Source organism: Homo sapiens, chromosome 5 (genome assembly GCF_000001405.40).
Source record: "Homo sapiens chromosome 5, GRCh38.p14 Primary Assembly".
In the NCBI taxonomy this organism is placed as follows: domain Eukaryota; kingdom Metazoa; phylum Chordata; class Mammalia; order Primates; family Hominidae; genus Homo; species Homo sapiens.
This window is the reverse complement of record NC_000005.10, coordinates 95,506,301-95,529,479: the sequence shown is the minus strand read 5'-3', so window position 1 is coordinate 95,529,479 and position 23,179 is coordinate 95,506,301. Positions and strand designations below refer to the sequence as shown.

The 23,179-nt window shown below is 34.6% G+C and overlaps 1 protein-coding gene and 1 pseudogene across 3 annotated transcripts in view; one reads left to right on the top strand and one right to left on the bottom strand.

Moving 5' to 3' along the window:
* SKIC3 (SKI3 subunit of superkiller complex) overlaps positions 1-23,179 on the top strand; it is a 91,084-nt gene that overhangs the window by 25,498 nt on the left and 42,407 nt on the right. For 2 of the 3 annotated variants that reach the window (NM_014639.4, XM_047417937.1), the window contains exons 12-30: positions 378-479; positions 1,328-1,467; positions 3,807-3,893; positions 3,979-4,082; positions 4,889-5,015; positions 5,646-5,825; positions 6,154-6,278; positions 7,173-7,426; positions 8,662-8,764; positions 12,158-12,334; positions 12,420-12,564; positions 12,730-12,808; positions 12,894-12,955; positions 13,071-13,127; positions 14,557-14,625; positions 15,835-15,909; positions 16,862-17,003; positions 19,793-19,886; positions 22,469-22,546. In NM_014639.4, the coding sequence (NP_055454.1) occupies positions 378-479; positions 1,328-1,467; positions 3,807-3,893; positions 3,979-4,082; positions 4,889-5,015; positions 5,646-5,825; positions 6,154-6,278; positions 7,173-7,426; positions 8,662-8,764; positions 12,158-12,334; positions 12,420-12,564; positions 12,730-12,808; positions 12,894-12,955; positions 13,071-13,127; positions 14,557-14,625; positions 15,835-15,909; positions 16,862-17,003; positions 19,793-19,886; positions 22,469-22,546 (2,200 nt within the window). Of the gene's footprint in view, positions 1-377; positions 480-1,327; positions 1,468-3,806; positions 3,894-3,978; positions 4,083-4,888; positions 5,016-5,645; positions 5,826-6,153; positions 6,279-7,172; positions 7,427-8,661; positions 8,765-12,157; positions 12,335-12,419; positions 12,565-12,729; positions 12,809-12,893; positions 12,956-13,070; positions 13,128-14,556; positions 14,626-15,834; positions 15,910-16,861; positions 17,004-19,792; positions 19,887-22,468; positions 22,547-23,179 lie in introns of those variants that run through there. The other variant, XM_047417938.1, reaches the window with a different exon arrangement.
* On the bottom strand, positions 8,005-8,111 carry RNU6-308P (RNA, U6 small nuclear 308, pseudogene; annotated as a pseudogene).

Here is a 23,179-nt window from a genome sequence, read left to right as displayed (position 1 = left end):
CTAGCAAGACTTGGTAAGGAGTTTGCACAGTATCCTGACAACAGTGGGGAATCAGTAAAAGATTTTTAGCAGGGGAATTTTATAATCTGATTTGTCTTTTTAGAGATATTCTAGCTACAGTGTAAAGAATGCATTGGGGTGGATGGCAAGCACTTGTAGTGATTTGGGATAAAGATGGTGGAGGTCTGAACTGACGTGGAGATGGAGAAAAATGTATGGTGGGGAATGAATTGAGGCAGAGAATCAGTGTGACTTTGTGACTGATGAGATATGAGAGATGAAGAGGGGAGGAGTCTGATTTGGAGAGTAGGCATTGGTGCTGTTCATCTATGTAGTCACAGAAACCTTGTTTTTTGTGATTGTTTTTATCCTTTTAGGGTTAAAGGAAAGCCCTGTCTGCACAAGTGGATGGTATCATCTGGCAGAAGCCCAAGTCAAAATGCATAGACCTAAAGAAGCTGTTCTTTCATGCAGTCAAGGTATTTTTGATACTTTTTGGGTTGACATATAAGGGTGACCAACCCTATTTGTTTTTATCTTAAAGGACAAAGATAGTGATTTTTAAAAACCAAAATGCTATATTTTGTATTTTAAATTGCTAATTTTAATTTCAATAAGTTTAAATAAAAGTCTGCATGCATGTGTACTAGTGTGTTTATTTTTAAACTGACAATGAATGTTTAGCAAAATTTTCCTGCATTTGGAATATTGACATAGTCAGTTTAGGCTTGGGTGTGGAGGTCCTCTGTCTTTGTAACAAGGAAGTTTCTGGTGTGTCCAAGACACATGAGTTCTTAATTTCTCTCATATAGAGAGGGGAAACCTTAGGCATCTTGGAGCCTATTTGAATGTGACAGGGTGAGGGGTGGGGATAGGAAATCATGAAAGTGGTTCACTGTTTCTGACCCACCTGGTAGCTTGCTCCCTGTAACTAAGAAACAGTTCACCTTGGTCCATTCTAATTCAGCTGCTTTCCCCTTCCAGTATCCTTAATTTCTTATATTTGTTACAGGTGCTTTGGTTGTGGGCTAACCTTTATTGTTTAGCAAATATAGATAGCCATTGTCGTTTTTTAGGATATTCAGTTTTATTATATGTTGTGTGAAGATAGAGGTTTTAAATTCAGATATGTTCTGTTTTAAATTCAGGTCTTTCCATAAGGAAGTCAGGGAAGAATTTATATTTAGCTTTGAGTTATTCTTCATGTATATTGTTTTGGAAATTTATGCTTATTGTATCTGCAATTTATTATATGTCATCCTTAAAAAAGAAAAAATAAACAGAAGTGATATGGCTGTCTTCATTTGGATACCCTTAATTTTGTCAGCTCTGAAGATCGTAGATAATCTTGGTGCGTCTGGTAACAGTCTTTATCAGAGGAATCTTTGTCTTCATTTGAAAGCAGAGGCTTTGATTAAACTCTCAGATTATGACTCTTCAGAGGAAGCAATTCGTACGCTTGATCAGGTAGACTTGTCAAGTTTTTTTCTTCAACTCTAGTTAGTTTCCAATCAACCAGGCAACAACCATTCTCTGCCTACCACAAAATTTACTTATATGGATTTTGTGTTAGAGGTATGAATTCACCACATCTGCACTTTTATAAGTCATTCATACATTTGGGAACTTCTAAAGTTATTTGTTTGCTTTTTGATTAAGGACTTATAGTACTCATCATATAAGACTATTTCGTTAGTTCTAGACTTCATTCTCGTTTCTTCCTTTTGCCCTCTTAGGTTATTACTACTTGATTATTATTAATTTGAGATTCCAAATTTTTTCCTTCAGGAAGTGTTCTGCAGATTTGACAAGAATAATTAAGGACACTGTTAGCTTCATGGTAGAGAATGTTTATTTGTTTCATTCAAAGAAAGATTCATATTTCATAATGAAACCGATTTCTTAGTGTTTTGAGTTAAAGCAATTTGAAAGTCCATAGTGAAAAAAACTATAACTGGTAAATTATGAATTATAGCATTATGCCCTAAAGATTTTTGTCAGGTAAAGACTATTACTGGTCTAAATTAAAATTGAGTTTTTAAATCAGTTTTATGTATTTCAAAGGGCTTTGTATTTCATAATATTTCTTTAAAATCAGAACCGTTGTCAGCATCTTTCAACAATTAATATTTTCTTGTTTTCTTTTTGCCATCCCACCAATAATGTGTTTTGTGTGAATGCTTTATAAAGGTTTTTCAAATAATGTTTTCACAAAAAAACAAATGACTGCTATTTTGGAGAACTAGCAGAGTCCAGGTCTGAGATAGAAAATGTACAAGATGAACCAAGAACACCTTGTCATGCTAGAAAGCAAGAAACTATAAAAGGGCTCAGACTACAAAAGGGCTCAAGAGCTAGCATAAAGAGATTCTTACTGGCTAAAAAGGGCGTTACTAATGTGGTATGTTGAAACAGATCAAATATTTTAAATCCATGTGTTCATGATGATTCAGAAAACTCAGCAAATGTCCTCAAGAAAACAAATGTTTGGGGGGATGCTAAGAACCCAACTATGAAGAATAAAGGCATTTATCCTGCCTTTATCTGAATCATTCCTCAGGATAATGAAATAACGAAGGTAGGAGAAATTTGCCTTTGTTGAAGTATTCTGTCTAATAAGAGAAAATGACAGAAAATCACCATTTTGCAATCCCCAGTGAATTAATAGATCTAGGCATCAAGGGTTAATGGCTACTAACATCACACAAAGGCAATCAGGCTGGGCACAGTGGCTCATGCCTCTAACACTTTGGGAGGCCGAGGCAGGTGGATCACTTGAGGTCAGGAGTTTGAGACCAGCCAATATGGTGAAACTCTGTCTCTACTAAAAATAGAAAAATTAGTCTGGCTTGGTGGTATGCACCTGTAATCCCAGCTACTTGGGAGGCTGAGGCAGGAGAATCGCTTGAAGCCAGAAAGCAGAGGTTGCAGTGAGTCAAGATCAGACCATTGCACTCTAGCCTGGGCATCGAAGCGAGACTCTTGTCTCTCCAAAAAACAAAAAAAAAAAGACAGTCAGACACAACCAAGTGCAAATACACCTGAAGACCTGAAGTATCCTTGGGAATCTTCAAACCTCTGAACCCAACTACTAATATACAGAAAATACAGGGAACCAAGGAACATGTTAAACACCTTGAGAATACGTTTAGCAAAATCCAGACTCTGAGAAACTGTGACAAATAGGCCATATTTTTCAACAGTTAAATTGTAAGGAAGAAAAAAAAAAGAGAAGGAGGGGGACCTTATTGATTAAAAGAGACAAGGCATTATCATTAAGTTCAAATGTATGTGTCTTATTTAGATTTTGATTTTTAAAATTGTTAAAATATGAGACAACTGAGAAATTTGATAGTGTTAAGGATGTTGTTTTTGTTTAGGTATGATAATGGTAATGTGGTTATGCAACTTAGAAATGAACTTTTAGATATAGATACTGAAGTATTACAGGTAAAAAGTTACAATATCTGGGATTTGTGTCAAAATCATCTGAGCAGAAGTGTGGTAAAATTAGTGGAGGTATAGATGAAAAAAATGATTGCTTGTGAGTTTGTGGTTTTGTAGCTGGATGATGGGTACATGTGGGTTTATTATACTAGTTTCTGTAATTTTTTTATGTATATGAGATTTTCCTTAATAAAAAGGTTATGAAGAGTGAAGATGTGTTATTAGTGATAGAAATCAGGACCTCTATTTCTTTATTCTATTAGGACCATGCTTTTCTGTGTTCGTTCGTTAATTAAAGCAAACATTGCTGTGGTTGTGTTGAAGGAGATTTATAGCAGTTCTTTACAATTATTTTCTAGATTTCTGATGCAGATAATATCCCAGGACTTTTGGTTCTCAAAAGCTTGGCCTATCGGAACAAAGGTTCATTTGATGAAGCTGCAAAGGTTGGCTTTTTTATTCAAACTGAGCATTTTTTGAGTTAAAAGCATTTTTATTTGGCTATAGAATTGACAGGTGTCTACTTTATAGATTATGGAAGACCTTCTCTCTTCTTACCCTGACCTAGCTGAAGTTCATGCCCTTGAGGCTTTGATTCATTTCACCAAAAAGGACTATCTACAAGCAGAAAAATGGTAAGGATATATAAATTGCTCATAGAACCATTTACATCTTAGTTCTTTATATTTCTGAAAAATTCAAAATGAGTAGGCTTGATGAAGATTTGATTTTTCATGAATTTGATCTTTGTAGGCTTTAAGTTTTAGTATTTTAAAGAAATGTATTTAGCATGTAGTACAGTAGCTATAAAAAATTATATGATGGGTTTCAAATCTAATTAGCTGATCTTGGCCGGGCGTGGTGGCTCACACCTGTAATCTCAGTACTTTGGGAGGCCAAGGCAGGTGATCTCTTGAGCGCAGGAATTCAAGACCAGCCTGGGCAACACGATGAAACCCCATCTCTACTAAAAATACAAAAAGTAGCTGGGCGTGGTGGCACATGCCTGTAGTCCCTGCTTCTCAGGAGGCTGAGGCACGAGAATTGCTTGAACCTGGGGGGTGGAGGTTGCAGTGAGCCAGGACCATTCCACTGTACTCCAGCCTGGATGACAGAGCAAGACTCGGACTCAAAAAATAAAAAAAAAAATCTAATCAGCTGATCATAATGTTCACTAAGCAGATGTAATGTTCAGTATAGTCTGAACACTTAGCACATGGTAGTGCTAAAAGGCCACTGTGCTTTTTTAAGATCCTCTTCTTCAAAAACAAATCACTTTTTTCCTTATGATAATATAAATCCTAAAGTGATGATTGGTTTCTAATTTGGCACCTCTGAATCACTCAAACTTTGATTGTTCCAACTAGGAGTCTCCTATATTGCGTGTGGGTGTGTGTGTATTTGTTTTACTATTTCTTTTTATTACCCTTTGGTGGCTTAGTTTTCAGAGAGCTCTTGAGAAAGATACCGAAGTTGCAGAATATCATTACCAACTTGGATTAACATACTGGTTCATGGGTGAAGAGACAAGAAAAGATAAAACAAAGGCTCTTACCCACTTTCTGAAGGTAAAGCAAGTGCTACAATTCAATTCCTAGTTGAAATGGCATTATAAAATCATAAATAATAATCATATACATTAGTTACAATTACTCTTTACTGAACTGTTTTTTGTGCTTTATCTTTCATATGTCAGGTTTTGTGATGGTGTTATATGGGTTTTCAAGGAAAAAATTAAAACATAAAATGTGAAAGTTACTTTTTGAAAAGCATGTGTTGTAGAAAACGAGACATAATTATCTCTTGTAAACAATACTTTTAAGGTAATTTTCACTGTAGTTTTATGAGCATACAAGTTAGATGTTTAAATTCCTGTTTTTTTAGATGTTTAACATCTATAAGTCCTACATTCTTATCTTGACTTGTAAGAGCAGATTAATTCAGTAGCAGCTCTAATTTCACATTTCCTTTACCAAAAAACAAAATATTTTTATATTTCCTTTTACTTTCTATAAGCAGTGAGGGACAGCTTTCCTGTCTGTTTTAAATCTTACATCAAAGGATTTTTTGGCATATTTTTGTATGTTTAATGAAATTATTTCTTTTTTCTTTAATCTGTGTATTTATCTTCTGTATTTGTAAAGATACTCATTAAATGAACTTTTAATGTTCTGTTATTATCAATATTTATTTCAAAGGCTGCAAGACTGGATACATATATGGGCAAAGTTTTCTGCTATTTAGGTCATTATTATAGAGACGTAGTGGGAGATAAAAACAGAGCTCGTGGATGTTATAGGAAAGCCTTTGAATTAGATGACACTGATGCTGAATCTGGAGCTGCAGCAGTTGACCTAAGTGTGGAGCTTGAAGATATGGTATGTCTAATAATCACTTTTGCTTTTTGTTTTTTTTATCCTGAGTATATAAATGAAAATATTTTTATATATGTATACTTGAAAGTTATCATTAGTTTTTTTTCTATAGGTGCAATATAAATATTTTTGCCTCTGTAAGTGAAGTTTTTTTCCATTGGCAGATATTAAATTACTAACCACTTATTGTTGAAACTGTAATTTGATGTATACCAGTGTAAGTTTAAAAAATCAGAAGTGAGAAATGAAAATATGTTTGTGTACTTTACATGAGCGTTCTGTCTTTTTATAATGTTCAATATATCTAATATTAGTATTTTCTTATTATTAGGAAATGGCTTTAGCTATCCTAACAACAGTAACTCAAAAGGCAAGTGCTGGAACGGCAAAATGGGCCTGGCTTAGGCGAGGACTATACTATTTGAAAGCTGGTCAGCATTCTCAAGCAGTGGCTGAGTAAGGCACCTTATTGTATTTAAACTATGTTAGACAAGCATAACGGTTCCTTAAATTAAGCATTTTAATTGTCTCTTACCAGGTTGTATTTTGAGAGAAGAAATAACAAAATTACTTTATGATTGATTGGTGTTTATTGTTTGCAGGGCAGTGGAATTGCAGAGATGGATTAAATGGTGTCCTGTTGTTGAGGAGATAGCCAGATTAGTGAATTGAAGTCTTAATACATATGTATAGTAGTTCTCAATAGAAATTTTAGTGATGAGAAGCTGAGGTACATATCTTTGTTGTTCTGCTGACACACATTGTTTTTGGCAAGGGAGACATTTGGCAGCTTAAAGGGCATTGGGAGCAGCTCATATATGATCAATTTGAGTCATTTGATTTGAACAGTACTTAAATGTAAATAAATGTATTTGAATCAAAATAAAATTGTTTCTGGTTTATGTTAGTATCTAGAGTACAGGCATTTTCACGGAAATGGAATTTGATCAGATATTTAAAGCATGCCTATTGTTTCCATATTTTAACTGTGGTATTTCTGTTTGGTAAAAGGATTGCTGGTGGGGGATTATGGGCTGATGTGACAAACTGAGATGGACACCTGTCCTGGTAGGATAGAAAACTCGAGTTCTTCAAGATAATCAAGGAAAAGAAATTTTGTTCAGCACTTTTTCAAAAAAAGCATTTTATTCTTATTCTGAAATTAAAATAACATTTCTTAGCATTAAAAAAATCATAAAAGGAACAAATTTATCTGCTTTAAATAGCACTTTTATAAGTAGAAGGAGCCACAGATATATATGTTTACTTGAATTATTTATTTTATATTTTCCTTTCAGATTTGGAGATAGTTCCATACTTTTAGTTCTCTTACGGTTTTTTAAATTTTAGTTTACAGGCAGCATTAAGAGCAGACCCAAAGGACTTCAATTGTTGGGAATCGTTAGGAGAAGCATACTTAAGCAGAGGAGGCTACACAACAGCCTTGAAGTCCTTCACAAAAGCCAGTGAGCTGAACCCAGAATCCATATACAGTGTGTTTAAGGTTGCAGCAATACAGCAAATCCTAGGCAAATATAAGGAGGCTGTAGCTCAATACCAGATGATCATTAAAAAGAAAGAAGATTATGTGCCTGCTTTAAAAGGTAATTTATTTTTAGTAGCTCCTTTGACTTTTATGATCCTGAAGTATAAAATCCTTGAGTAGATTTCCTGCCTAAATGTATTGAATAACTTGAAAAGGACTTCTTTAGTCAACAGCAAGCATCCATATGAACCTCTTACAGTATAGCTTATATAAATTTGAATATAAAAAGATCAAATCTTGTTTCACAAGTTAATAAATAGTAATGTGACAGAGATTTAACTTTTAGACAAACAGTATGATAACTATTAGATCTAAAAATTGATCTCTAAAACATGTTTCCCTACTCTTACATTTTGATAATTAATTCATCATGTCTCCAGAATATCTTAATACCTTTAATTACTTTGTAAGTTATACAAGCTCATTAAATTTTTTTTAAACTTCAGAGACAACTTGCATTGTTTTGTAGTTATCTAAGTTATTTTTGGTAATATAAAATAAAATACCACCATCCATATATAACCTACATTTGTAATGATTGTATTAAAAAAGCTGGGAGCTCATTATATATGCTTACTTTCTTCCATTTCCTTCTTTCTCCTTTTTAAAGAAACTGGTTTTTTTTTTCTGTTTGTTTTTCTTAAGGAATGCTTTATGAATTTTTGTGTCATCCTTGCTCAGTAGCCATGCTAATCTTCTTTTTATCATTCCGGTTTTGGTATATGTGCTGCTGAAGTGAGCACATAAATAGTATATTGTATATGACATATAACTTAGGGCTTGAAACTTTTTTTTTAATTTTGTAAAACTCTTTCCTCAAGAGAAGGAGAACTCACATTTAAGAAATCTTTACTAGGAACTTTAGGTAATCACTATTTCATTTAATTCTTATAGTATAGCTTGCTATACAGATTTTAATATAAAAAGATCATATCTTGTTTCACAATAGTTAATAAGTAGTAATATCATGGAGAGTAACATATAGATAATATCCACATTTTTTGTAGCCAAAGTTTTAGCAGGTAAGTAACTTGCCCAAAGTCAAGGAAATTCTTGGGTTCTGTAGATAACTTTTTTATAACTTCTAGTGCATGTTTACTCCAACAGAATTCTTCCATTTGAATTTCTTATTGAGTGAATGTAGGATCATGCTTTAAGATAATTTTATAACACACCGTTAAGTTTTATTTTCTGGAAAGTGCTTTAAAATAACACCAATAACTTTATTTGAAGTTCATTTTAAGTGTTTATTTTATATGTTTTAATAACAGTGACAAACTTACCTGATTTTAGGTTTGGGTGAATGCCATCTTATGATGGCAAAAGCAGCTCTAGTTGATTATCTTGATGGAAAAGCCGTAGACTACATAGAAAAAGCACTGGAATATTTTACTTGGTTCGTATTATTCTTATTATTTATTGTTTATTTTTGTAATATTAAAATGAAGCCAAATTTAGAAGATCATTTTATGTATTCTGCTAGATATAGCAATTGCTCAGAATGTCAAACATAAAGAATAACAGACAAGCCAATTCTATAACATACATGTTGTATTAATTTTGCACTTGGGGAAACAGATATAATTTCTTCTGCTCTTAGTAGTGGCTGGCATCCTAGATGCATAGGAAAGAATAGGAAGGAAGGAGCAGTCTGCTAGTGGAACAGCAGCTCTGACACCATGTGTTAGTGTTCTCTTTCAGTAGGCCTGGAAATGAGTATCTTTAATTGGAACCGATTGGGAAATAGGGCTTCAGGTGCTCAATATGCTGTACATTCAGTGGTAAGAGCCAATTGTAGGATTATTAGTAGGTCTTGAAGGTAAGGGGAAATGACAATCTGATTGCTCCTGAGGAGAAACTGTGAAGGAAAAAAGTGATGTGTCTAATAACAAGAAAGGAATCAGAAAATTTTGAGTAGATTTGGCATTTTATAGAACTGTGAATTCATTGGTTAGGTCAGAAAAAGTGTTATCTGTGGTAGAAGACTTCCAAAAGTCCACAAGTTAGATGTACATTTGAATTTTTTGTAACTCTTAAACATCTTTCTTCTACTTCCCCTCTTTTCCTGCTTGGTTTCTCCTCTGTTTTGTATTTATTGGTTGTTCCAGAATTGCTTTTCATATGAACCAAATATGAAATGAAAACCTAACCCTTTTTTATCTCACTGAATTTTATTGCTACTTTTCAAGTCTCACATAATGTAGTTCTTTCTAAAGGGAAAGTTACTGTGTAAAGGGCATGCTTTATTTGAACTGCTATTTAAGAGTAAATGTGAACCTTTGGGTGACAGTACCTTAGCTATAAATACTGCCTCTCTGAGCCTAGGAAATGTTATTCTGGATAACATGTAACATAACCCATTAGAAGGTGGCATATAAAACAATTATAATCTCCAAATGTATATTTACTTCCAGACTTACAAGGCGTTAATACTATCACAATTATTGTGTAAGGGTGATATAAGTTACTTCAATTTATAGATATTTTATTTTTATTGAACTCAAAATAAGAATTTAGGCTCTTAAAATCGCCTGTTTCACTTTTTTCCTCTCTTCTCATTTTTTGCTGTCAATTTTAGAAATTTTGCTAAGATATTTAGGCAAAGGAACTCCAAATCATATTGCCCTTCTTTCAGATTCTCAGTGGGCTTTTAGTTATGACCACAATAATTAATATTATTTCTTAGGAAGACATTGGAAAATTATTTTTGGCTGGACTCCATGAGTAGAAAAGGCTATGAAAAATGTTCCATCTGCTTTTCCATCTGCCAGTAACATAGCAGCTTGTGATAGCTGATTATTGAGACTTGGCTTAAATGAAATTGCCATGTGTTATTTATAAGATCTCGAGAAGAGAAAAATGAAGAAAAATGTATAGCTGAAGTTTTTCTCATTCTAAAAGGAATTGCCCTCTGTCACCATAATTAATATTTCTCTTTGCTTTTTGAGCTTGTTCATTCAGTCTGCTCTTGTTTCGGTAAATGTAGTTCTTCAGATTTTTATGTTTAGATTTTTGTTTTTTTTTTTTGGTCTCAGGGTATTAATGTTCAACATCACCAATCATCAGGAAAATGCAAATCAAAACCACAGTAAGGTATCATGTCACCCCAGTTAGGATGTCTGTTATTCAAAAGACAAAAAATAAAGGCTGGCAAGGATGTGGAGAAGAGAGAACTCTTATATGGTTTATGGGAATGCAAACTAGTGTAGCCACTGTGGAGAACAGTATGGAGTTTTCTCAAAAAACTGCAAATAGAACTACCGTATGATCCAGCAACCCCACCACTGGGAACTTATCCAAAGGAAAGAAAATCATTATATCAAAGAGACATCTGTACCCTCATGTTTATTGCAGCACTATTCACAATAGTCGAGATATGGAATCAACCTAGATATTCAACAACAGATGAATGGATAAAGAAAATGTGGTATTTATATGCAATGGAATACTATTCAGCCATAAAAAAGAATGAAATGCTATCATTTAAGGCAATTTGGATAGAACTGGAGGACATTATGTTAAGTGAAATAAGCCAGGAACAGAAAGTTAACCACCATATGTGCTTACTCATATGTGGAAGCTAAAAAAAAAATTGATCTCATAGAAGTAAAAAGTAGAACAGAGGATACTAGAAGCTGGGAAGGGTAGGGGGAAAGGATATATGGGTAATACTTGTTAAAGGACACAAAATTACGCTAGATAGGAGGAATAAGTTCTAGTGTTCTGTAGCATTGTAGGATGACTGTAGTTAACAATAATATATAGTTTCAAATAGCTAGAAGGAGGATAGTGAACATTCCTAACACAAAGAAATTATAAATGTTTGAGATGATTAATATGCTAATTACCCTGATCTGATCACAATACATTATATGTATCAAAACATCTCTGTACCTCATCAATATATATAGTTATGCCAATTAAAAAATAAAATTTACAAAAATCTTTCAGATCTTACCAAATATATTTGGTATATTTTATTTGAGGTGTCTTCATCAATTTTTTGCTGCCATAACAGAATACCATGGACTGGTTAATTTACAAAGAACAGAAGTTTATTTGACTTGGTTCTGGAGGCTGATAAGTCCAGGAGCATGGTGCTGGCATCTTGGTGAGGGTCATCCTATGGCAGAAGGGCAGAATGCAAGAGAAAAAAAATGGGACTGAACCTACCCTTTTATCAGGAGCTGACTCCTGTGACAACTAACCCATTCCTACAATAACAGTATTAATCCATTTAGGGAGGCAGAGCCCTCATGACATCATCACCTCTTAAAGGTCCTACTTCTCAACATTGTTGTCCTGGAGATTGAGTTCCCAACTCATGAGCTTTGTGGGGATGTAGTCAAAACTACACAGCATGAGAGAAGATCTAAAAGCAAAAACCTGAGTTTACAACTGTCAGTTGTAAGAGAGTTACAAACTTTACTGCCTTGGTCATTGCTTAAACACAAAAAGCATAGTTTTAACATTTTAATATTAAAAGGAAATTGGTCCTGGAAAACTTATTTATTTATTTGCGTGATTGCTGCTACTTCTAATAAAAATGGTGAAGAGTAACAAAAAAAAGTGTCCACAAAATTTCTGGCACTTAAAGTAATCCCTTCCTCCTTCCCTTTCTCCTTTTCTTCTTCCCTTCCTATTAGGGAGGTGATATGATATGATTCAGTTAGGAGGAGACTAGTAAAGTACTTAATGTACAGTTTTTCTGTTTTAAGTAATAATCAGGGAGATAAACTTCATGCTTTTTATAAATAATTTGTAAGAATCACAATGTTTCTTTTTTTAGTGCTCTACAGCATCGAGCTGATGTGTCCTGCCTCTGGAAGCTAGCTGGGGATGCTTGTACCTGTCTGTATGCTGTCGCACCATCTAAAGTGAATGTTCATGTTTTAGGAGTCCTTCTAGGTCAGAAAGAAGGAAAACAAGTATTAAAGAAAAATGAGCTCCTCCACCTTGGAGGAAGGTAATTTGCAAAGATTGCCAGTTAATAACATTTGAATTGAATTAAGGCATTGTAACAAAAAACATTCACTTTTATATTCCCGTAGGTGTTATGGTCGTGCATTAAAACTGATGTCTACATCTAATACATGGTGTGACCTTGGAATTAATTATTATCGCCAAGCACAACATCTAGCAGAAACAGGCAGCAACATGAATGATCTTAAGGAGTTGCTGGAGAAATCTTTACATGTATGGTATAAATAAATTTTTTATAAACCTTTTCAAAAACATAATGCTTTTCTCGAAGTTGTTTTGGATGAAGTAAATAGTGTTTTCACATAAAACCACATATATCTTGATATACATGCTGCTATTCCAAGAAATAAAAATTAATCTAATTTAACTTCTTTTCAGTGTCTGAAAAAAGCAGTGAGACTCGACAGTAATAATCACTTATACTGGAATGCTCTTGGTGTGGTTGCATGTTACAGTGGTGAGAATTGAGTAACACTTCAATATTTTTAGAAGATTGTGTATTTCAAACAAAGTTCAGTTTCATCAGGTTTTGTATTTTTCAGGTATTGGAAATTATGCCCTTGCTCAGCACTGTTTCATCAAATCAATCCAGTCAGAACAAATTGTGAGTATTCTATGTGTCTATGAAAAAGAACTTCAAAATTTAGTATTACTAATTTTCTGAGACTTTCAACTAGACAAGGGGCCTATTTTAAGAAAAAAAATGTTATGTTTTTTAGAATGCTGTTGCATGGACCAACTTGGGAGTGTTATACCTCACAAATGAAAACATTGAGGTAAATATGTTGCCTGTCTGTCATATTTAAAACAAAGAATGTTTTCTATATTATTGTCTCCTCAATAGCTCAGCTTCTTGTGGAGAAATGTTTTTGCACATCGTTATCTAGCCAGTATGCTCTCCAGTATGCTAGTTAATTGATGATATTCAATTTATGTCGAATAATTAATGTGTAAGATTTATTTTCCTTTTTATGACCTTCAAGAAACTTCTGGTTTTGTGATTATGTTGGTTTTTCATTTAGAGATTAAAACAGTTTGATTCTGAATCAATTCAGCATTTTTTTAAATCTGTACACATGTAAGAGAAGTCCTATGTAGATAGTGTTGGAGGTGGAGTGGATGAGCACAAGGGAGACAGTTAGTACTCTCTAGCAGCTTAAATTTAACCTTTCTTGGATGCTTTACATTTTGGCTTTAGTAGATATTAATCTCTTTAAATAGCAAGTGTAATTTGTCATACTTGAGCAATTATACATTAGGCAATTAGAACTAAAGTGACTGGGAGTATGTTTATAGGTCATGTTTGGAAAGTTTCCATAAATCTATAGGTAATACCATGTCTGAACTGTTTTGTGTTTCAGCTGGTATATTGAATCTCATCCCAAAAAGCTTTCTCAATATTCTCAAGGATACATTAAGTCCCTGCAAAAAAGACTGGATTTAGAAAATTGTAAATAGATTGAAGAAAATATTAATTTGGATTTTAAAATACGTGAACTTTTTTTAATTTAAATAAAACAATGTCTTAATAAGCTATGGATGTGGTTTTATTGTAGCATGGGATAGTTTTTGCCCATGAGCTTACTTTTTAAAAATAGGAAAAATAAGACTGTTTCCTGCCATACATAGATTGTTGAGAAAATAGTATAAAGCAGTATGTAATAAAAAGTTATTTTTTGTAGCAGAAAAAAAAGCATCCAAGTTAATGTGTCCAAATTAGATATTTTTGAAGTTTCCTGATTGCTTAATGCAGAATTATGTTGTTGATCACTCCTTCTCTGGTAGCAGGTATACACATGTCTAGGACTTCATTGGTTAGGACTTCATTGGTTGTGAGTTCTTATCCTCCCAGTTAAGCTAAAAGGGGAATAGATAGCCTTATTTAATCATTGCCTTCAAACCTATGGCTATCTAATGGATGGATGATTGGTTGGTTAAAAGTTCTGCAGATGACAAGGTAGAACCCTTTTTTGCTAGGGTTCAGAACTCCTAACCTGGGGAGAAATCTGTTGCACCCAGGAGTGTTCCAGAACTGTGTAGTTAAAACACTGCTTTAAGCATTGCTAATTATGCTTAAACAGTGAAATTTTATGTTCATACATATTTATGATGAGAGGTTTGACTTATTTTATGCTTTTTAAACATAAGCGGTTTAATAAGTTTATAAAATGACTTGCTGTAATATTTTTTGCCTTTTTTTCCTAGCAAGCTCATGAGGCTTTCAAAATGGCTCAATCCCTTGATCCATCTTATTTAATGTGCTGGATTGGACAAGTAAGAAATATAACATATAGTTACTAATAAGCTTGTTGATATCAATAACTGACTAATATGCATAACAGTGATAATAATGGTAACGGATAGCATTTGAGGGCTTACTTTGTGCCAGTCACTGTGCTTAGCTCTTTGTATACACTATTTCAGTTAATCTATCAATCATCAATTCTTTGAGATATGGTTGATGTTATACTCTCTTTATAGTTGTGGAAATAGAAACTCAGAGCTCCTAAGTGTCATTCCTAAGGCCACGTAGCTTGTAAGGATTTAACTCTGACTTGGGGGGCCTTTGAACACTTACCAGTCTGACATTACTGTGCCTAAAAAATAAACCCAGAACTCTATTGTTTAACTCACATGTACAAAGAAAATGCACATTTACAAAGATCATTTTGAATATTATGTTTCTGTAAAATCTTCATATTTGGTTTGTCACTTGTTTATGAGTGTTCTTTCCTCCCCCAAATTCAGATTTTTGTACTGCCAAATAGGAATCAGGATACTTTGTTACTAGTCTGAGTCTGTTACCTACTGATTTTTTTTTCTTTTTTTACCTTAGCATATCACTTTTCTGGATTTTAATTTTCTCACCTGAAAAAGAAGGGGATTAGACTGAGTGGCCTCGAAGTTCTTGCCTGGTTGAGAAATTATAATGAATTAGTAAGCAGTCAGTTGCTTATCAGAAAATTATTAATCAGGGTTTAGAGATCTTTTGTTGTATTTTAGACTCTTGGGCCTAATTCTAGTTAATTGGTGAAGCAAGCAGAGCTAGAAAGGCAAACTCCTGTTCCCATTCACTGTGGTAGCATTTGGGAGCAGTGGCGTTACTGTGCTAGCCTCTGTGTCAGCCATTGAACCCAGGGAGTCCAAGAATTTGCATTCTAACTGCTCCCAAGTGATGATTATGAGGCTGGTCCAAGGGACCTCACTTCGCGTAGTACTGCTCTAGCTCAGTAGATCTTAGATGATTATCAGAATCACTTTTTAATTTTTATTTTAAAAGTATTTTTGGTTTTAAAAATAATTTATTTTAGCAGGTAACTGGAAGATTTAGTTAAAATAATAACAATAGAAGTGAAAAACTTAGGTTAACTTTGCTTTTAAGCTCAGCTAGTAAACCTTTGGTTCTTCTAGACAGTTTCATTTTGTATTATTATTGTTACTGTCTTTTAAACACATTAAGAGTCTGTTTTTTTCCTTTTATAGGCTCTTATTGCTGAGGCAGTTGGAAGTTATGACACCATGGATCTCTTCAGGCACACTACAGAACTAAATATGCATGTAAGAATCTGAACATTCTTCTTGAGGATTCATTAATGAGAAAAGTGTTATCCTTGTTAAGGGAATGAATAGATATTGGGCTAGGCATAGTGGCTTATGCCTGTAATCCCAGTGATTTGGGATGCCAAGGCAGGAGGATTGCTTGAGGCCAGCCTGGACAATATAGCAAGACCCTGTCTCTTAAAAAAAAAAATTAAAAATTAGCCAGGTATGATGGTGTATACCTGTAGTCCTAGCTACTCAGGAGGCTGAGGCAGGAGGATTGAGTCCTGGAGTTTCAGGATACAGTGAGCTATGATCATGCCATTGCACTCCAGCCTGGGCAACAGAGCAAGATTCTGTCTCTAAGAAAAGGAAAAAGAAAATGAATAGATAGTGGTATTAGATGTTAATGACATCAGTTGTTTTTATTCTTTATTCTTTCTTAGAAACAGATTAGTTTTCTCGAATTAAAGAACTACCATTTTTCTTTTTTCTACAACTTTCAAGAGCTGGTGAAGAAATGATGTTTAGATTTAATAGATATAGTAGCAGTCATATATTAATAGAATAGAAACTGAGACTCTAGGAAAAAGATAGACATGAGATAAGGAGTAGGCATGGTAGACATTTCTAGATTATTTATGAAAATGTTGTAGAATTCATTTTTTTTTTTGGTCTGACCTTTGGCAATGGTGCTGAGGAAGGGAAAGCCAGCCCATCAGGCAAGGCTCTGTTTTCTGCATTTTATCCCGTTTGATTCTTCTCGTTAGGATTGGAGCAAATAATTTCAATATGTTCTTCGCTGTGTTTTATCATAGTGACCCTTCATTTAAAGGTACTTTTAACAATTGACTTAAAGAACACTGAGATGTGATATTTATTGTATTGAAGTGCATTGTTTTACTTCTTATTATAATTTTTATTGACACATTTATTATCCTATGTCTGCTTAACGTTGGCTTTTTTAAAGACTGAAGGAGCATTAGGTTATGCGTATTGGGTCTGCACAACATTGCAAGATAAAAGCAACAGAGAAACAGAGCTGTACCAGTACAACATCCTCCAGATGAATGCTATTCCAGCAGCACAAGTTATTTTGAATAAATATGTAGGTAAGGTACCTGTTATATAATAGCAAGATATTTGAGCAACTATTGAAATAATTTAAATAATTTTTAAAATTAATTCATGTCAAATTAAATATTGGTATTCTTTAAGACATGAATTTGCCTTCTTTTTGCAACAGCGAAGCAGTCTTTACTTTGTAAACTTTAATAAAGGCTTTTGAAGAAAGATAAAAATTGTTACCTAATGATGCAAGAAAAAAGTAATTTCCTTGTTATAGTGTAGAGTGTATTAGGCTTTAATACACTCTCCACTATACACTATACACTAGAACAGTTGCTGCTGTTCTCGCTTTGCCTTTAACTTTCTCTGCAGTCTTAGGCCAAGTGTTTTACCACCCTTAACTTCTGTTTACTCCCTGGATAGTGGATATAACAATACCTGGATTGTAGAGTTGTGAGAACTAGATGAGATAATATAAATGAAGTGCCAAACCCAGTGCCTTTAGCTTCCCCACTTAACACCTGATTTTTCTTGAAGATATTGGAAAGATACATTTAGGTTTAGGAAGTTGACAGAGTGGTGAAATTTTATTAACCATCTGTTGTAATAATTCCGTCTTTTTTAATAAAACTACCATTGGGTTTTAATCTCTGCTCCACCACTTAGTAGCCTTGACTGAAACCTTGGGCATGCTACCAAAATTCTCAACAGGAAAGTGTTTATTGCTTAGTGTTTAAACAAGATGATTTGTACAAAATGTTATGCAGGGTGCCTGGCATATCCTAGATGCTCAAGAAATGTTAGTTTCATTAACTTTTGACAAAATGCTAATAAAGAAGCAAGGAGTTTAAGCAAGAGTACTGAAAACAGTAAATATTGGCAGTCAAATAATATAAAGAATCAGATAAATTGTGAAAAACAGGAGAGAAAATGCCTCACTGTAGATATTGTGGGGATTGTGGCACTCTGCATGCATTTAGCCTGAGGCACTAGACTAGGCAATTAATTTACAAACATCAGCACTTGGGGGGGTTTGCCTTAGGGTGGGTGTGGCATGTGAAGGCATGGATCTCCTCATGCTTATTTTGTATTTATTTATTTATTTTTTGAGACGGAGTCTCGCTCTGTCACCCAGGCTAGAGTGCAGTGGCGCAATCTCGGCTCACTGCAACTTCACCTCCCAGGTTTAAGCCATTCTCTTGCCTTAGCCTTCCGATTAGCAGGTAGGCGTTACAGGTGTGTGCCACCACGCCCGGCTAATTTTTTGTATTTTTAGTAGAGGTGGGGTTTCACGGTATTAGCCAGGATGGTCTCAATCTCCTGACCTGGTGATCCACCCGCCTCGGACTCCCAAAGTGTTGGGATTACAGGCGTGAGCCACTGTGCCTGGCCCTCATGCTTATTATGACTCAATTTTGTTGACTCTTTCTTTTGTGACTTTAAGGATTTTTCAAGAATAACTTTGACTATTTGATTTTAACCTTAGTTGTTGATCTTAGAACCTAGCAATCACAAAAGATATGGTTACAGTGTACTTTGTTAAATAATCTAAAGGATTTGAAGGCTTACTTTCCACTACTACTTTTAAGTACATTAGATCAGATACATTTCTTTTTCTACATTTTACCTTCATAGATAGGTAATCACCCAATGGGTTCACTTTGCCCGCTGCCTAGACAGAGCCAATATATCAAGACAGGGGAATTGCAATAGAAAAAGAGAAATTCATGCAGAGCCGGCTGTGTGGAGGACTAGAGTTTTATTATTACCGAAATCAGTCTCCCCGAACAAGCATTTGGGGATCAGCATTTTTAAGAATAATTTGGTGGATGGTGGTGGGCAGGCAGTGAGTAGGGAGTGCTGATTAGTTGGGTTGGAGATGAAATCATAGGGAGTTGAAGCTGTCTTCTTGCGCAGTCAGTTCCTGGGTGGGGGCCACAAGATCAGATGAGCCAGTTTATCAATCTGGGTGATGCCAGCTGATCCATCAAGTGCAGGCTCTGAATAGTGATGTTATCCCCAGGAACAATTTGGGGAGGGTCAGAATCTTGTAGCCTCCAGCTGTATGACTCCTAAACCATAATTAATCTTTTGACTAATTCAGTAGTCCTGCAAAGGCAGGTCTAGTCGCTAGGCAAGAAGGGGGTTTGTTTTGGGAAAGGGCTGTTGTCATCTTTGTTTCAAACTATAAACTATAAACCAAGTTCCTCCCAAAGTTAGTTTAGCCTGTGCCCAGGAATGAACGAGGACAGCATGGAGGTTAGAAGCAAGATGGAGTTAGGTTGGATTTCTGTCACTGTCTCAGTTATAATTTTGAAATGGTGGTTTCAGATACATTATGTTTTTTGACATTAAAATTTCAAAATACTGCACCGAAAGTACCAAACTTACCTTCTGTTTCTAGTGTACAATACTGACTTTGTTATTTTTTTTAAATACGTACATGTTGGAACAGAACCGCCAAGAGAAATTATTGCTAAATTTAATCACAGGAAGGCTTAAGTAATTAGCCAAAGAACTGAATATCTTTATAAATCTCATGACTGGTTTTAACAAGAACTATAATTTCAAGTTATTATACCTTTGGGCATAAAATGTTTAAATTCTAAAATACAACTAAAAATCAAATATAACTATTAAACATTATTCAGTAATTAGAGTTAATAAAGTTTTTACTGACATTATATTCAAGATAAAATCAGGCCACTATTCTTAACAGTGTGAGTGATCTCAAGAGGTAATCTGATATTTAAGATACTGAAAAAATAAAACGAATATTTTGTTAATACCATCAGTAGGCATATTTAAAATGAAGATATTTCTCATTTTCTAGAAAGAATTCAGAATTATGCCCCAGCTTTCACAATGTTGGGTTACTTAAACGAACATCTACAACTGAAAAAGGAAGCAGCAAATGCATACCAAAGGTAAACTACATTTAATTGTGATAGATGCAGGAGGAAGATGAGGGGAAGGGTTCCTGGAGAATCTCTGACTGGCCTGTGCGTTGGGAGAACCGGGTGAAGCCAGGGGATGTTCACGCCATTTGCAGGTGGGGAGGAGCCTGGCCTCTTCAGTTCTTGGGTGCGTGGCCTGGAATCAATCTGTGAGATGTGGGCCTGTTAGCAGGAACCCCTCTCGCTTTGCTGAGAGGTTTTTTTTCTTTTTTCCTTTTCACCCAATAAATCCATTCCCCTCACCCTTCAGTGTGTCTGCGTGCCTAACTTTTCCTGGTTGTGTGACAAGGACCCGGTTTTAGCTGAACTAAGGAACAAAGTTCTACATCAATTGCAATGTTATCATTGTTTATCGGTTATCTTTTCAAATGTTAGTTTCATTCTCGGGAAGAAGGTACTAAATAATTGTTTTGACTCCTTTCCTGATGTTTCATTGTATACTATTATTACATCTTAGAAGATGAAAAGATGTGTTCCCAAATTTTCAGCTATATTTTGGTTTTTGTTGCTCATCTTAAGGAGGTGGGGTGGAGAAATTGAGAGAGAGAAATCGATAGAAAAGAAAGATGAAACAAAACAAAAATCTTCTCAGATTTTTAGAAAAGTCTGTCTTTTAAGAACTTGTCTAGCTTTATTAGATTTGAACATGTGTTCAATGAGACAAGAAATGAGAACATTGTGATGTGTTTGTTTGAATGACTTTAATATCTACTATGTATTTATTTATTCATTTAATAAATATTTTTTGACTACTGCGTGCCAAGCAGTGTTCTTGGCACTGATTATTTTGCAGTAAATTAAAAAAGACAAAGGCCCTGTTCTCATGGAGCATGTGTTCTGTGGCTGAAGAGACATGATAAGCTAATAAACATCTGTGATGATAGTAATTGCTAAGAAAGAAAATTAAAGTAGGGAAAAGGGCCAGAGAATGCAGGGCAGGAAGTGACATTTCAGGTGAGTTTAAGAATGGATAGATTTACTAAGGAGGCAGTTGAGGCCTGACTTCAGTGAACTGAGGCCACAAGCCACTTGTTTATCTAGGCAGGACCATTCTAGGCAGAAGGAACAGCAAGAGAAGTGGAGAAGTGGAGGAGTGGATTTGGCATGTTTACAAAATAAGAAAGCCAGTGTGCTACAATGGAATGACCAGCTGGAGAGTGGTAGGAAATGAAATCTACATAAATTTCTATGTAAATTAATGGATAGGTGATAAGAAAATAACTATTGATCTCATGACCAACTACTAGGTGAAAAGTAAAAAGACCTGGTTGCCTAATCTCTGAGGCACATTATTGCCCTAAATCTAAATAAATATTTACAAGAAGCCTTGTCAGGTAAAAAATAATTGAGGTGTCCTGAATGCTTTGCCATATGCTTTTATGGATCTCTCCGTAGTTCAAAGGAGTAATCACTAGATGGTACTGGAGCCTGTGTAATCAAGAAGTTATTTTTCCAGGTGTGTATGGAAAGAAGTATATGAAAATGAGTGTATATGAAAAACCACTATTTTGCTTCTTTCAAAGCCAACAAACTTACCAGTAAACTGTATAAATATGACAGACTGCAATAGTGAGCAAGATTTTTAAACAGAGAAAACTAGGCAGCTAGGGTGTTTGCTATTTTTTTTTTTTTTGGTATGTATCGTTATTATTGCAGATATTGTGAATCTAACATTGGTTACACCTTAGGCTTAAAATGGCATCTCCACAGTCACTTGGGTGTATGTACCACTTTCTTGACTGATCATCACTGCTGTTTTCTGCTTTAAACAACTATTTGATGGTTGAAGCCACAAATTAGGCATAAATCTAAATAAGGGTATAGTTTTTCATCTCTATAATACTGTCTTTAGGCTTCTCTAGCAAATTCTTGTTTTTCATGCAACATCAGGGAGATAAAAAATCTTTCTTGGCTATTTCTCCCTAGCCAGTCGTCTTTAAATGGGAAAGAAAATAAAAACCAAAAATCTTGTTAAATATCCAACTCTTTTTAGTCGTTAAGACATTTCCCTGCCTGCCCATAGGGAACTGAGCATGAGAAGGAAATACACGTTGTCAGCAGGTTATTTATTCCAATCCTTGAGGGACTTCTAGTGACTAGTCCCCTTCCCTCAACTTACTTTTCTTTAAATATTTTTCTGTATGTACAAGCAAGGGCACATGAAAGCATTCAATTTCCTGGCTTCCTAACTCAAACTACTAATATATAAATAGTTTCAAGGGTGTTTTCTATAAACTCCAAATATGTCAAAACTTTAAACTGTGACATAGTCATTTCCTATATTTAGATTTTTGGAATATTTAGAACTCAAATGTCATATATGATTTCACTTACTAAGAGGTTATTTAGATGTTATTTTCCTGAAAGTCTAAAATCTAAATATATATAAGTGCTTTTGTGGTACCAACTTAATAAAATATGAATAAGCTATTGTAACTAGCACCAAAGAATTAGTAGAATTAAATGAACAAAAATCTGTGGATTCAGCTAAAGAGGAAGGTAACAGAATGCTATTGCACAGAGATAAATTAAAATACCTTTTTTTTTTTAAGGGCAATTTTGTTGTTACAGACTGCAGAAGACCAAGATACTTACAATGTTGCAATAAGAAATTACGGCAGATTGTTATGGTAAGCGTATTTTTTCTCCATTAATTCTGTCAATTGATTGTATTTTTCTGGTGAAAGCTATGGGACTGCTGATATGCTGACTAGTTCCTAGAATACTGGTACATGTAGGATACATAATTTCCATAGAAACAGGCTCTGTTAACAGTTTCCTATACCTATAATGGTAACCAACCCCAGTGTGCTTTATGTGGAGCAGAGTTAGAACTCATGGTTTGTTGACTGGAGATGAGAACATTTGGAAGAGAGGTAGTGACTGTCTCTAACAGTAGAAGCCTCGTTAATTGGAAGAGGAATTAGATTTATTCTGATTTGCTATATATTATTAAACCGGGGAGGGACATTAGGGGTCCAGTAACCCCTTTGAAACAGTACACAAAAATTGTTGTGTGGGTACCTTTTGGGGATGGGGAATGAGCTCTATATCTTTCCTCAGTTTTTCAGAGACTTCTAACTCTAAAAAAGAATAAAAGAAAGAAAGATTAAGAACCAGTTGTTTTAGAGGGTAGAACTAGGACCAGAGAATAGAAGTATTGTAGGAGGAAGGTTTTTGATTCAAGTTAAGGCAGCATCCTAGAGCTGCCCTAAAGTTGAATGGTACAGTTTGAAAAACACTGTTAGAACTATACTTTGATG